This window comes from Homo sapiens, chromosome 2 (genome assembly GCF_000001405.40).
Source record: "Homo sapiens chromosome 2, GRCh38.p14 Primary Assembly".
Lineage (NCBI taxonomy): Eukaryota > Metazoa > Chordata > Mammalia > Primates > Hominidae > Homo > Homo sapiens.
The window spans coordinates 183,503,220-183,517,600 of NC_000002.12; the positions used below are offsets into that span (position 1 = coordinate 183,503,220).

Here is a 14,381-nt window from a genome sequence, read left to right on the forward strand (position 1 = left end):
TTTCTGGTTGCTTTGTCACTTTTCTCTTCCTTTCTTTGTTTCTTACTGTCTTCCTGTGTGGTTAAATGATTGTCTCTGGTTGCTTTTTATTTTTAGTGAATCTATTATAGTTTTTTGGATTGTGCTCACCAAGAGGCTTACAAAAGCATCTTATAGACATAACAAATTATTTTTAATATATGACAACTAAGATCACAAAGAAAAAAATAGAAACAGAAAATTTTTAAAAACTCTATACTTTAACTCCATCCCCTTTACATTTTGACTTTATGTTGTTTCAATTTACATATTTTTATATTGCCTATATCTTAACTAGTTGCTATTGGTATTATTGTTTTTGATAGATTTGTCTTTTAGGCTTTATACTAGAGTTCTGAGTAGATTGCACACAATTACAATATTCTGGGTTTGTCTGTATACCTAATTTTTATCTTCAAAGGCTTTCTTTTTGCATGTTAATGTTTTTTCTTTCAGATTGAAGAACTCCTTTTAGCACTGTTTTTGTAAGACAGGTCTGTTGGTAATGAATTCTCTCATCTTTTTTTGGGGAAAAGTCTTTATCTCTCCTTCGTATTTGAAGAAAAGCTTGCTAAATACAATATTCTCAGATGGCAGTTTTTTCTTTCAGCACTTTGAAAATATCATTCTACTCTCTTCTCACCTGTATGGTTTCTATGGAGAACTCTGTTGCCGGACAAATTGAAGCTCTTTTTTATGTTATTTTCTTCTTTTCTCTTGCTGCTTTTACTTTGATTTTTGGGAGTTTGATTATATACCTTGAGGTAGTCTTATTTGGGTCAAATCTATTTGGTTGTTCTTTCTGTACCTTGATATTTACATCTTTCTCAAATTTTAGAAAGTTTTCTATTATATCTTTGAATAAATTGTCTATCCCTTGTTCTTCCTCAACTCCCTCTTAATTACCAATAATTCTTAGATTTGGTCATTTGAGGTAATATTTTATATATTGTAGGTAATCTTCACTTTCTTCTTTTTTCTATTTTCTGATTATTTTCAAATTACCTTTCTTTGAGCTCATGAATTCTTTCCTCTACTTGATCCATTCTGCTGTTGAGAGCCTCTAATTAATTTTTTCAGCTTAGCAAATGTATTTCTCAGTTTTAAGATTCTTGTTTGATTTTTAAAAATTATGTCAACCTTTTTGTTAAATTTATCCAATAAATTTGTGTTTTATCTTGAAGATCACTGAGTTTCCTTTAAACTGCTATTTTGAATTATTGGTCAGAGAGTTCACATATCACTATCTTGTTAGGGTCAGTCAGTCATTCCTCGCTTTGTCTATTTAAGATCATGGTTACCTGTTTGCTATTGTTTCTTGTGGATATACATGTATATATTTGGATTGAGGGAATTTTTTATTTTTTATTTTTATTTTTTTTGAGACAGAGTCTCTCTCTGTCACCCAGGCTGGAGTGCGGTGGCAAGATTTTGACTCACTGCCACCTCCGCTTTGGGAGTTCAAGTGATTCTGCTGCCTCAGCCTCGCGAGTAGCTGGGATTACAGGCACACACCACCATGCCCAGCTAATTTTTTTATTTTTAGTAGAGACGGAGTTTCACCATGTTGGCCAGGCTGGTCTTGAACTCCTGACCTCAAGTGATCTGCCCACCTTAGTCTCCCAAAGTGCTGGGATTACAGGCATGAGCCACCATGCCCGGCACATTGAGGGATTTATTCCTGTCTTCTCGGTGTGGCTTGTTTTAGTTTTTATTGGATATGTTTGCTTAGAGATTCTTTTTGATTTTCCTGTTGGTCTGTCTTTCAAAATGTTTTTCCCCTAGATTACTGTCCCCTTTTTGGCACTTGATGGTGCCTTAAGCTTAAGTCTGTCTCAGTTCTAATAAACAGTCAGTGTGCTACCCATCCCAAATAAGGGGGGTCCAAAGGGGATATTCCAGTAGTGTGATAAGGGGACTTGTGGAACAAACCTCCAACAGCATGATGCTGCTGAACAACTGCTCTGATTTGGCATCTTTGAGCTACAGAGCAGAGTTCTTAGGGCCAAGCATGGTAGTTCTACCTTCCTCCTTTGTCTCTGGTTGTCTTCAGGGATGTTTATCTTCTCAGGCATTCTTGATGCTTCTTGTAGGTTAAGGCAGGGGCAGGTATCCTGCCAGGGAATCCAAGATGGTGGGAAAGTTGGTTGTTCACCTCAATCTCACTTTTTTCAGTGCAGAACCTATGAGTTAGAGGGTTGATTTTCTGTGAGCCTGGTGCTGGGCAGATTGTGGGGAGGGACACTGTTGATATGGAAGTCCAATTATCTTACTGTCTGCTTGGAATTTTTTCACTTCTCTATGGTCCTGGAATGTGTCTCATCTTTGTTTTTGAGTTCTGGGATATTGTTGGTGATAATCTTGGCAACATATGTTTGCTTTTTGGCTTTCTGTTGGGGGAGTAAAGCCAGCTTGATTCTATATTGCCATTTTGGAACTAGAAATTCCATGCTATAAAACATCTTTGAGGACAGTACCTAGTATGTTTCCTTGCACGTATACCTTCAAAAATATTTTTTGAGTTGCACTTACCTCCTCAAGCCACCATTTGTTCTTGGCTTGCCTATTTCTGACTCTGTTCTCCCATTATTGTAGATATGTATTTATCCCAGTAGATATAAAAGTATATGCAGCAAATTTGAGGATTATGTAAAGTCTGTGATTGATAAAAATATTTTGAGTGATAAAATCAGTAGCCAAAAAAGCAGGCTGAGTTAAGAAAAATAGTAAGGTTAAATATAAAATCTATCTAAAAGAAACCATTGGCAAAGAACTAGATAAGAAGGAAGTGGTTGAGCAGTAGCCTATGTAAAAAGAGTACCTAAAGATTTGACTCTGTGGTTCACCCTAAATGAGTCAACAGCATCAGTTGTTCCATTCTATCATTTATTAGCAGTCAAACTTGGGGAAGTCGCTTGACTTCATAGAGCATTTCCTCTTTCATTTCTTAAGAGCCCTAGAACTTCTGAGCCCTGGAACTATGTAGCAGACATTTCTAGGCAATAGAGTTGCAACTATGAAGAGTACTTGGTCTCTGTCCTTATAAACATACACACATTAGTGAAATAATATTTGTCCAAATTATAGTAAAGCAATAATATTCATCTTTAAGTGTTACTGTATAGAGATTAAATCAGAGAAGGACAAAAGAATGGAGAGAAATAGATAAATATTATGTGAGAGATTGAAAAATATAAATAACAATACATGTAAAAATATCTAATATATTACCTGGATATGTTTTTACTCTTGATGTTACTTCAGTTTCTCTGTGATGCAACAGGATGTGAATTCATTTATTGTGGATGGTACCAGGAGTACTTTTTTTTTTTTAATCTGAGGATGCATGTACTTCTTTGCATTTGAAAATTTATTACTTATTGCATCTTCAAATATTTCTGTTCCCATATTCTACCTTATCTTCCGGAACTCCTACTGTGTGTAAGTTGGAGATTCTCAATTTATCTTATGTATTTCTTGATGATTCTTTCTTGTAAAAAATGCCATTGTCCCTTTGTGCAGCATTCTGGGCAATTTGCTCAGTATTTTCTTCTAAAACATAATGTCTCTTTTCAATGGCTTCACTCTAAATTATCCAATATATTGAACTTAAAAATTGACAACTCTAGTTTTCATTTTATAAGATTTTTAATATATATGTCTGCTGTAGTTCCTTTTGCCTGTTTTATAATTTCCTCTTCATTTTTATGCAAATTATTATTTCATCTCTCTTGGAAAACCTAAATGTACTTACTTGCAAATTTTTGCCATATTATCTCATAAAATTAAATTTTTTGGGTGAATTTATGGCCTGATTTTTGAATTTTTTTGCCATTTTAGATGTCTTCCTGCATTTTTGGCATTTGGTTTGGTAAGATCATTTTTGTGTGTATGTGTGTGGAAGAGTTTTGTGTTATTTCTTCCTGTCCCTCTACTTCAGGATTATTCTTCATGGTCTATTTTATTTCAGTTGTTTTCTACCAGCCCTGTGGTGTCCCAGACCAGATCCAAGTCTTATAATGGTATTGAGGGCTACTGTCCAGGAGCAATAGTGCAAATCTAGCCACTGGCGTTACAGAGAGGCTTGGCTTGACTTTGATGAGGTTGTGCCATTCTCCTCCTGCCTCCTTATGTGTCCAGAATTTATTCCTCCCAGTGGGTTCTTGGTCTCGTTGACTTCAAGAATGAAGCCGCGGACCCTTGCAGTGAGTGTTACAGCTCTTAAAGGTGGTGTGTCCAGAGTTTGTTCCTTCAGATGTTCAGATGTGTCTGGAGTTTCTTCCTTCCAGTGGGTTCATGGTCTTGCTGACTTCAAGAATGAAGCCACGGACCTTCGCAGCAAGTGCTACAGCTCTTAAAGGTGGTGCAGACCCAAAGAGTGACTAGCAGCAAGATTTACTGTGAAGAGCAAAAGAACAAAGCTTCCACAGTGTGGAAGGGGACCTGAGCAGGTTGCCACTGCTGGCTCAGGGGGCCAGCTTTTATTCCCTTATTTGGCCCTGCCCACATCCTGCTGATTGGTCCATTTTACAGAGTGCTGATTGGTGCGTTTACAATCCTTTAGCTAGACACAGAGCACTGATTGGTGCATTTACAATCCTCTAGCTAGACAGAAAAGTTCTCCAAGTCCCCACCGAAACCAGAAGCCCAGCTGGCTTCACCTCTCAATCCCCCCTCTCAACAGGATACCCCAACTGCTGTTGGGGATTGGGCGATGACTGCTCTGGCTACTTCCTGCTGGATAGGGGTGAAGAAGGGGCCCTGCAGTTGTAGCATCCTCCAGAGGAGAACTCTTTAGCCCAGTGAAAGGGCCAGCGGGTCAGTCCAGGGGTCCTTGGTAGAAGTTGTTAGTTGAGCTCATTTGGGGTTCCATTTTTAAGACCATCTGTAGCTTGATGGCCTTGATCCTAGAGGAAACAAATTTGACAAGGTGGTTAAAAATACAGGGCCCGAAGGTGAGTAATAGCAAGATGGCTGTCACAGGACCTAGAAAGGGGAGAAGCCATGTTGCCCAACTCCAGAGGTTGGTATAAGAGTTTGAAAGGCATTGTCTGATTTCAGAAGCCTTTTCCTGTAAACGCCAGGTGGCAGTCGTACTATCCCTGACTGGTTAGTGTAAAAGCAACACTCTTCCCCTAAGAAGGTGCAAAGTCCTCCTTTCTCAGCAGTGAGGAGGTCTAGGCCTTGGTGGTTTTGGAGAGTCACTGCTGCCAAAGAGTCTATTTGGGATTGTAGTTACTATCTTTACTGGATAGATTTTGTTATTTCTTGCAAACTCTCTGAGAAATCCTTTGAGAGTGTGTGGTAGTAGGATAATGCATGTTACACTGTTAATTTTTAGCAAACTTTACTTTGGTTCAAAACCTTGTTAAGTTTGAGATTTTAATTTTTCTTTGCTATTAATAAAACCTCGTTCAGTCCATATTAACTTAGAATTGGTATAGATGGCTCCTTGCTGATTCTGTAAGTACTTTAAAATTTTGCGGAGTGCAAACAACTTGCACGTTTGAGCAGACCAATTATTAGGCAATTTTTCCTAACTCTGCTTCTACAAGAGTTTCCTTATCATTTACTGAATACCCATTGTGTCTTTTTCCCTTAATCGCCCCGGAGGAACCATCTATCATCCTGTCCTGAAGGGAGTTCCTCCTAGATCTGGTCGGACCTTTGTATGGTAATTAATTAAGATTTAGATCGCCTGTTAGGAAACCTGCTGGGTTAAGGATTTTTGATAGGAAGGCTATGGGTTGTCAGTGGCCTCAGTGCTTTCGGGCTATGCCCTTGTTTACACTGACAACAAGGTGGTATTGCAGTGTTATAGGGTCACGGAGAAGACCTTCAATTATCGATTATAGGTTTTAAATTTACCCTGGCTTTTAAAGGAATAGGGTACACTTTTTTTTCTTTCCTACTTCCATCTCTCTCTCTGACTTCTTCTTTGTCACTCTCTTTCTCTCTGACTCCCTGTTTGTCTCTTCCTCTCTTTCCTTCTTTGTCTGTCTCTTCCTCTCTCTCCTTGTCTCTCTCTCTCTTTCCTCTCTGATTCCCTCTTTGTCTCTGTCTCTTCCTGTCTCTCTGACTTTCTCTCTCTCTTTCCTTTCTGCTGGTCTTTCCCTGCCTCTGCCAGCCACTTATGCTGCTGTTCTCCCCATCCTTCCCCTATTGATGGCTTTGGCAGTGTAAGACTGCCACCTCCGTGGGTTTTTGCACTGCATGCAATAACTCCATGGTATCCTTGTGATATTTAATGGGGGTTCCCCCAGAGGTTAGGAACTCCCTTTCTTTGCATATTGCATTATGGGCATTTTGGATTAGATAAGCATACTTACTATCTGTAGCAAAGTCTCCCAATTACAACTGAGGAGGTGGGAGAAATACCTGGTTACAGGCTGTCCCATGATTCCTCGGATGGTAATGGACCTTGAGGACAGCTGTCCGGGACAGGAGATTAACACAGAGAAAGCCATGCTAGTGTCCTGGAGGAAGTCAATTCTCTGGCCCTCAGTGGTTAAACATAGCAGGGGCTCAGTGAGGGTGATGATGACACGAGCTGGCGCTTGCCCCAGGCACCCTCAGTCCTATTGTTGGATCATCTGGTTGGGGGCTTCTGGCCCAGAAAACCTTTGTCCTCTGGGGCAGTGTGCCTTCCAGTGATTGCCTCAGCATAGTGGACATAGGCGAGGGGGTAGCTTGTTTCTCACTGGACAATCTTTTTTAAAGTGTCCTTGCAAACCACACTGATAAGGAGCCCTACCGGGTGATTGGCCTGCTCCATTTTCTGTCCTCTCTGAACCACCAAGGTTTGTTTGAGGGCCATGACTAAAGCTGCGGCCTTTCTCTTATCTCACTTTTCCTTTTCAGACTGTTCCTCTTGGTCCCTATTATAGAACACTGAGGTTGCCAGATTTAATAATGCCTCCAGATTTTGTTCAGGGCCCAGGGCTCATTTTTGGAGCTTTCTCCTGTTATCTGTGGCTGATTTGGTAATAAACTTATCTTTTAGGATCAATTGATCCTCCAGTGAGTCGGGTGACAGGGGAGTATATTTTCTTAAGGCCTCCCATAGCCTCTCGAGGAAGGCAGAAGGATTTTCTTCCTTTGCCTGAGTTATGTTAGACATCATTGAATAATTCATGGGCTTTTTCCTAATTCTCCTAGTCCTTCTAGAACACAGGTCAACAGATGTTTATGACTCCAGTCCCCATGATCAGAGTTGAGGTCCCAGTGGGGATCCACACTGGGGATGGCTTGCTGACCAGTAGGGAATTTGTCCCTATCATTTATTTGACTAAGATACCAGGTATCTCCAAACTCTTGGGCTGCAGCTTAAGCCACATTCTTTTCATTAAAGGCCAGGGTTTGATCTAACAATAGCATGACATCTCTCCAAGTGAGATCGAAGGTTTGCCCTAGATCCTGTAGGACATCTATGTACCTATCAGGATCATCTGAAAACTTCCCCAGGTCTGCCTTGATCTGCTTTAAAACAGAGAGGGAGAAAGGGACATGTACCCGGGTTGGGCCAAATTCCCCTCCCCCTACAGCTTGAAGGGGACATAACCGATAGCCTGGGGGTTTTTGTGGTCCTTTGGAGATTTCTTTGCTTATTTCCTTCTGGGTGGGGGAGATTAAAGGAGGCTTATCATTAATACAAAGCAGAGCTACAGGGAGGCTAGGATATGGGGGTAAGCTGAGAGGTCCTCCTGTGAGATGTAAATTGCAAGCTTTGCATAGTTGTGTATTCTCCTTCAATGAAAAGAAAGCTTGGACATAAGGTATTTCACTCCATTTGCCTTCCCTCTTACAGAAAAGGTCAAGCTGCAAGATAGTATTGTAATTTATACTTCCCTCATGTGTCCATTTTTCCCCATCAGAGAGAGAATATTGGGGCCGAGCCATAGTGCAGAAAAAATTGAGCCACCTCTTTTTCAGGGTTTGTGGGTCAAATTAGTCCCAATGGCTTAGGATGCATTTCAAGGGTAAGCCTGTTGATGCCTGTGTGTTTCCCATCTGAAAGACAAAACTGCCTGTGGTTTTGGTTTGTTTCCCCCCTGCCCAAGGACCTGCAACAGTCCCTGGACCCTGCTGATAGGAATGGTTGTGCTCACTGATGCAGCAGCAGAAATACCTCTCACTCAAGAACCCTCAATGGTCCCTGGACCCTGCTGATTGAAGTAGTTGCACTCACCAACACAGCAGCAGAAACACTAGTTTTCCTCCTAGACCACAAGGCGGACCGAGGAATGTCAGATTTAGTGGCCCTTACGGACACATTCTCAAAAACCTGCACCCTTGCCTGTCCTCCTAGACCACAAAGAGGACCGAGAAAAATCAGATTTAGTGGCCCTTACCAATGCATTCTTGAAAACCTGTTAGAGTCCTAAGCATTCTCCTGTTAGTATTAGGACTTTACCCATCCTATAAAGATGTTATGCCCCAAAAATGAAGTGGAGGGGCATACCCTGAGGGAGGGAAGGGATCTCCAGGGTTGGAAGAGTGACACCTTTTGTCCTCACTTGAATAGGAAGGATATCATTTCTGAGGCTCGCCATATCCTAGCTGCAGGAATAGCTTTTGTTAGGCCTGCTAGTCTGAGGAGGGATCCTAAAATTCCAGATAGTACCCCCCATGACAGGGCTTTGGGCAAAAATTATGTCTTTCTGATTGGTGAGCGTGGGTGCCTAAAGAAGTTTACAGAGTCCTGAAGTTTATACTAGAAATCATTCTTATAGGAGAAACTAGAAAACACCAGAGACAGGGAGTGGTTTTTAGAAGCAGGACTGACCTCTGAGAAGAGAGGTGAGAGGAAGTTTGTCTGACAGGCATTAGGACCCAGGAGGCAAGAGTCAGGATAGATGGGCAAGTCTCGCTTGGGTGATGTGACTTTGTGAGTTCCACTCATGGCCGCAGGGTCAGTCAACTTGTTGTTGGGACCCCGGAGCTCAATGGCTTTCCTCTCTGTCAACCCTCGGCTCAGCCCATAAGTACAGAAAAGCAGAAGCTGGTTCCAGGCAAACCAATGCTCCCAGCTCCAAAGAGTTGGAGGTCGTTAGAGAGCCCTTTCTCAGAAAGCCTGACACCCATGACTTCAGTCCGTTGGCCATGCTAGTTGCTTTTAACTGGCCGACAGGTGCCTGGTATTTAGCCCCTGAATTCTAAGGAAAAATAGGAGAGAATAGCAAGCAAAAGGGGTCCGATGGTACTCACCGCTTGGTGATAGTCCCATCTGGGTCACCAAAATGTGTCCAGAATTTATTCCTTCTGGTGAGTTCTTGGTCTCGCTGACTTCAAGAATGAAGCCACAGACGCTTGCAGTGAGTGTTACAGCTCTTAAAGATGGTGTGTCCAGAGTTTGTTCTGTCAGATGTTCAGATGTGTCTGGAGTTTCTTCCTTCTGATGGGTTCATGGTCTCGCTGACTTCAAGAACGAAGCCGCGGTCCTTCGTGGCAAGTGTTACCACTCTTAAAGTTGGTGCGGACCCAAAGAGTGAGCAGCAGCAAGATTTATTGTGAAGAGCAAAAGAACAAAGCTTCCACAGCATGGAAGGGGACCTGAGCAGGTTGCCGCTGCTGGCATGGGGGGCCAGCTTTTATTCCCTTATTTGGTCTCACCCACAACCTGCTGATTGGTCCATTTTACAGAGAGCTCATTGGTCCATTTTACAGAGTGCTGATTGGTGTGTTTACAATCCTTTAGCTAGACACAGAGTGCTGATTGGTGCATTTTTACAGAGTGGTGATTGGTGCATTTACAATCCTTTAGCCACAGAGTGCTGATTGGTGCATTTTTACAGAATGCTCATTGGTGCATTTACAATCCTTTAGTTAGACAGAGCACTGACTGGTGCATTTACAATCTTCTAGCTAGACAGAAAAGTTCTCCAAGTCCCCACCTGACCCAGAAGCCCAGCTGGCTTCACCTCTCACCTGGGTCTGGAGCTTCTTATAAAGCTTGACCCTCTTCAAGAACAAGTTGTGGGGGTTGCAACACTGCAGCCCCAATTTTAAGCAATGAGTCTGACTTTGTTACACCATCTCACCAGTAGAATATTTAGTCCCTATTGTAGTACAAGATCAAAACTCCAAGCTACTAGGGCCTGCTTCTGGACTAACGGTAGAGTAAGCCTGTAGTTTTAGCTGTACATGTTATGTTCCATTTTCATTGTTTTTTTAGTCCACAGAGGTGTTAAATATTTTTGTAAATGTCCCTGTTTGTGTTTAAATAATTTCTTTTGCATTCATTTAACATGCTTGATCACTTTCAGAATGCTTAAGTATAGTTAATGTAAAACCAGAACTAAATTAAGGCAGCAGATGTCCAGTTGCATTGACAATTACCTGGAGAAAAAACAGCAAAAAATACTGCACCTATTTACTGATAGAAACTCTATTGCTTGACATTTATATACAGTTATCACTGTAAATCTTTAACCAGCACTGAGGTCAGCTGGCCTTTATTTTTTCCTAACACCTTCCTTTTTTAAGCCCTTTTTGAGTTTTCATGGAATATTATTTATTTATAATTTAAAATAATTCTATAAAAATATTGGAAGAGGGGAGGAAAATAACAATAAGAACACAGTATGATTTATCTCAATCTCACAATATCTAGAGACTCAGTCTTACTAGAGATCACTGTATGTAATTCAATATCCATCACATTAGTGATTTAGTAAATATATTTTTAAAATTCTGGCTTTCTTCTTACTAAGTTAAAATTCCTCCATCTTTCCAGCAGAAAGGGAGAAAATTCCCACTCCTTAAATCTGTATCTCTAGTATCTAGTTCTTCACGTATATCAGAATTCAATAAACATTTGTTCAATACAACTTGCAAAAAAGGCTGGGCACTTTCATCATAGGCTTGGAGAATGAAATACAGTTGACCCTTTGACAACACGAGGAGTTTGAACTGTGTGGGTAGGTTTATATGTAGATTTTTAAAAATGAACATTATAGTGAGTGTACCTGCCTCTTCTGCCTCTCATTCCACTTCCTCCACCTCTTCTGCCTCTGCTCTTACTGAGACAGTAAGAACAATCCCTCCTCTTCCTCCTCAGCCTACTCAATGTGAAGACAATGAGGATGAAGAGCTTTATAATGATCTACTTCCACTTAACGAATTGTAAATATATTTTCTCTTCTTTCTAATTTTCTTAATAACATCTTATTTTTTGTAGCTTACTTTATTGTAAGAATATACCATATAATACATGTAAAATACAAAATATGTGTTAATCAACTGTTTATCTGTAATGCTTCCAATCAATAGCAGGCTACTAATAGTTAAGTTTCAGGGGAATCAAGTTATATGTGGATTTTTGACTGTGCAGGGGTTCAGCACCCCTAACCTCTGCATTATTTAAGGGTCAACTGTACATGCATTTAACATTTCTAGACACTAGTTATGTCATGAAAGAACCCAGGTAGTTGGAACAGTCATATCTCTACCACATCTTACTGGAATGAACCATAGAAAATGACACTTCACAGTAGTTCCCACTGGATATTTATGGGGGCAGAAATCTAATGTATAATAATACATAGATGTGCAATGTATGATTAAGCATATATGGTGTTAGTACAGTAGTTCATGTGGACAAGAGGAATGCACAATGTACACAGTTATAGCATTAATTTTGTGATTCTTTTCAATACTGATGTAGCAGTTAAAATAAGATTATTGCACTCCACATAGAGAATTCAGAGAATGGTTTAAGTAGACTTTCAGCTTGGGTGCTGGCCATGAAGTGAGATGCTTCTTTCCTGAAATTATCCTGGGGAGAAGGGTCCTCCATTTTTGGTTTACAAGACCAGAGTAATGTAATTATACTACAAGGACTCCTTCATTTGAGTAACTTGTTTCAATTAGACTAGTGAGTGGCATAAAAACAATGAGAGAAAAGTATGTGATAGATGCTGCTTGGATGATTATTATATTCAGTATAACAATAAACCTAATGGCTACTAGGTTTTTATGTCAAATTCTGTGGGCTTATTTATGAAATATCATTTGGTTTTGTATTATTCTTTATTGCCATAGCACTAGTTTAGTCCTTTATACATTTCTTTTGTACAAATTCAATTACTTTTAACTAGTTTCCCTACCTTGAGTCTGATGGCTCTTAATATTTATGGGGTCTGGTACCTTTCTGAGAATCTGATGAGAACTATGAAACTTCTTCCTTGAAAATGCACTTAAGCACGTACAGTCCACATGTTATATAAACTTCAGTGGGGTTCATGAGACCCTGAAGCTGGCATGTGGACTTCCACAGTACTTCCATTTGATTCTATTAGATCTGTGTTATTCATCATCCATTTATGCATCAAATGCTTTTGAGTATGCACTAAATTTGATGCACATGTGCTAAGCTTTGGAAATGCAAAGATAGGTAGGAAATGAGCTTTCCTCTAAGGAACTCATCATAGTCTAGACTAGAAGAAATATGTCTCATATATGCAATACAGTGTTACAGGTATTTATGGGCTACAGAGAAAGCCCCATACAGAAAGTTTTGGTTCTGTTAGGGGAATATTGAGTAAAAGCTTCATGAAACAGGTTAACTCTTACAAAGGAATGTCTTGATGATTCTATTCCTACATTCAAAAAACTGCAGTGATGCTCTATTGAAATTTAAGAAACTTGTTAATCAGATTTCAATCTATTTTTGTCTTGTTAGTTATCAGCCAAGTCACATGAGGGAAATTACATAAAATCCCTGGATTTTGATTTTTCTCATCTATGGTAATAAGAACAACAGTAGTAACAAACAAGTACTACTTTATGGAATTTTGGAGAAGAATAATAAGTTCATCTGCAAGCATTGTACTAATGTTTTACATTTATTATTTCTAGGGTATTAAGGTGGCTAAATATGGGGACTTTGGGGTCAGCAAAATCTCTGATCTTTCTTGGCTTTGCCAATTTTTGTCTGTCTGATTTGGGGCAAGTAATTTGACCTGCTTATTCATTTTCTCATCTGCACAAAAGGAATACATGCCTTCCAAGGATAATTGTAAGGATTAAATCAGGCAATGCAAATAATCTGAGCATGGTGCCTATCACAATACTAGACACTCTTATTACTATTGGAAAAATTGTCTTTTTAGTGCATATAATTATCACCATTTATAGGTAAGGAAACTGAGGTCCATATAGCTAAATAACTTTCTCATACAGTTCATACAGGCATGGAAATGTACAGTTGGCATTCAAGTGTCTTTGGCTTCAAAGGTCATGGTTAATTCAAGGCTGGGGAGGGGTTGGTGTAGAGGTGGGGAGAGAGCAAGGGAGAGCAGAGGTGGCACTGGCATATTTCTTGGTATATAGCTATTAAATTCACTCTTTTCAGGCATTCTGTTTCAGTTTGTATTTTCTACTTCAGCTAGTCTTATCCATCACTAACCCAGAACAACTCTACCTGTGTGCCTTTTTCTATGCTATGTCCTGTCCTTGACTTCTACTTTCAATTCCTACTCCTTTCCTTAAGCCCTGGGGGAGACCCACTGCCTTTTGAAAGCTGTCTATACCACATCTCCTGGGAGCAATCTTTTGTAGCCTTCAGGCTTCATAACACTTATTTTCTGTATCACTTACTTGGCAATAATCTTACCCAGCTCTTTATTGCTACCTTTTAGGTCTGTATATTTTTTATCACCTTCCAGAGATCATACCTCCGTGTAAGTAGGAGCCATAGTATAACTCAGCTTGCAGCACTGTCTGACGTATACTAACCTTCAATGCATATCTCATTACTGAGATTTTATTTTGAGAGATAATTTCAAAAGACATCTTGCTTCAGTGTGAGGAGAACTATGAAATCATAATCTCAGTCACAGGAAAAATACAGTTCTATTTGTGTACCGAGTTTCTTTAGAAACATTTCTAATGCGTAGAGTAATGAACACGTTTTTATTCTTGTAGCTGAAAGATGAATGAAAAGATAATAGTAAGATGGCTTTTTAAAAAACAATGGCATCAAGGGAAATGTCGTAAAATACTAGAGAGTTTATCATTTTGCATTACTTCTTTTTCTCTTTTTTTCCTATGCTGGAAAAAATAAGTTACTAGAGCGTTTTAAGTGTCCATCTTTATAGCCTTGTTAATATAAGAGTAACATTTGTAACACTGTGTTATTTACTTCCCATATGTAACACATGGATGTGAGAGAGTGGGTTAAATTCTTTGTTGAAAGTATATTATTCATTAGGCAATTCTTCACATTGACTTGTAACACTATGTTATAAAATTTAGAAGAAAAAGACACTTAAAGGTAAGAAATAAAGACGATGTTTTAAATTTTTTCTCAGTGGATTTTTTTAAATTCTTAGGATGTTGCTTTTACAAATTATGGTTAGCTT

At 39.6% G+C, this 14,381-nt stretch overlaps 2 annotated features.

The window, feature by feature from the left end:
• Window positions 7,316-7,925: an enhancer, noted in NCBI's record as "OCT4-NANOG-H3K4me1 hESC enhancer chr2:184375263-184375872 (GRCh37/hg19 assembly coordinates)". NCBI's record gives its function as "activates a minimal SCP1, AML or CMV promoter by ChIP-STARR-seq in naive H9 embryonic stem cells {active_cell/tissue: H9 hESC(naive)}" and the evidence as "EXISTENCE:reporter gene assay evidence [ECO:0000049][PMID:30033119]".
• Window positions 7,926-8,535: an enhancer, noted in NCBI's record as "OCT4-NANOG-H3K4me1 hESC enhancer chr2:184375873-184376482 (GRCh37/hg19 assembly coordinates)". NCBI's record gives its function as "activates a minimal SCP1, AML or CMV promoter by ChIP-STARR-seq in naive and primed H9 embryonic stem cells {active_cell/tissue: H9 hESC(naive and primed)}" and the evidence as "EXISTENCE:reporter gene assay evidence [ECO:0000049][PMID:30033119]".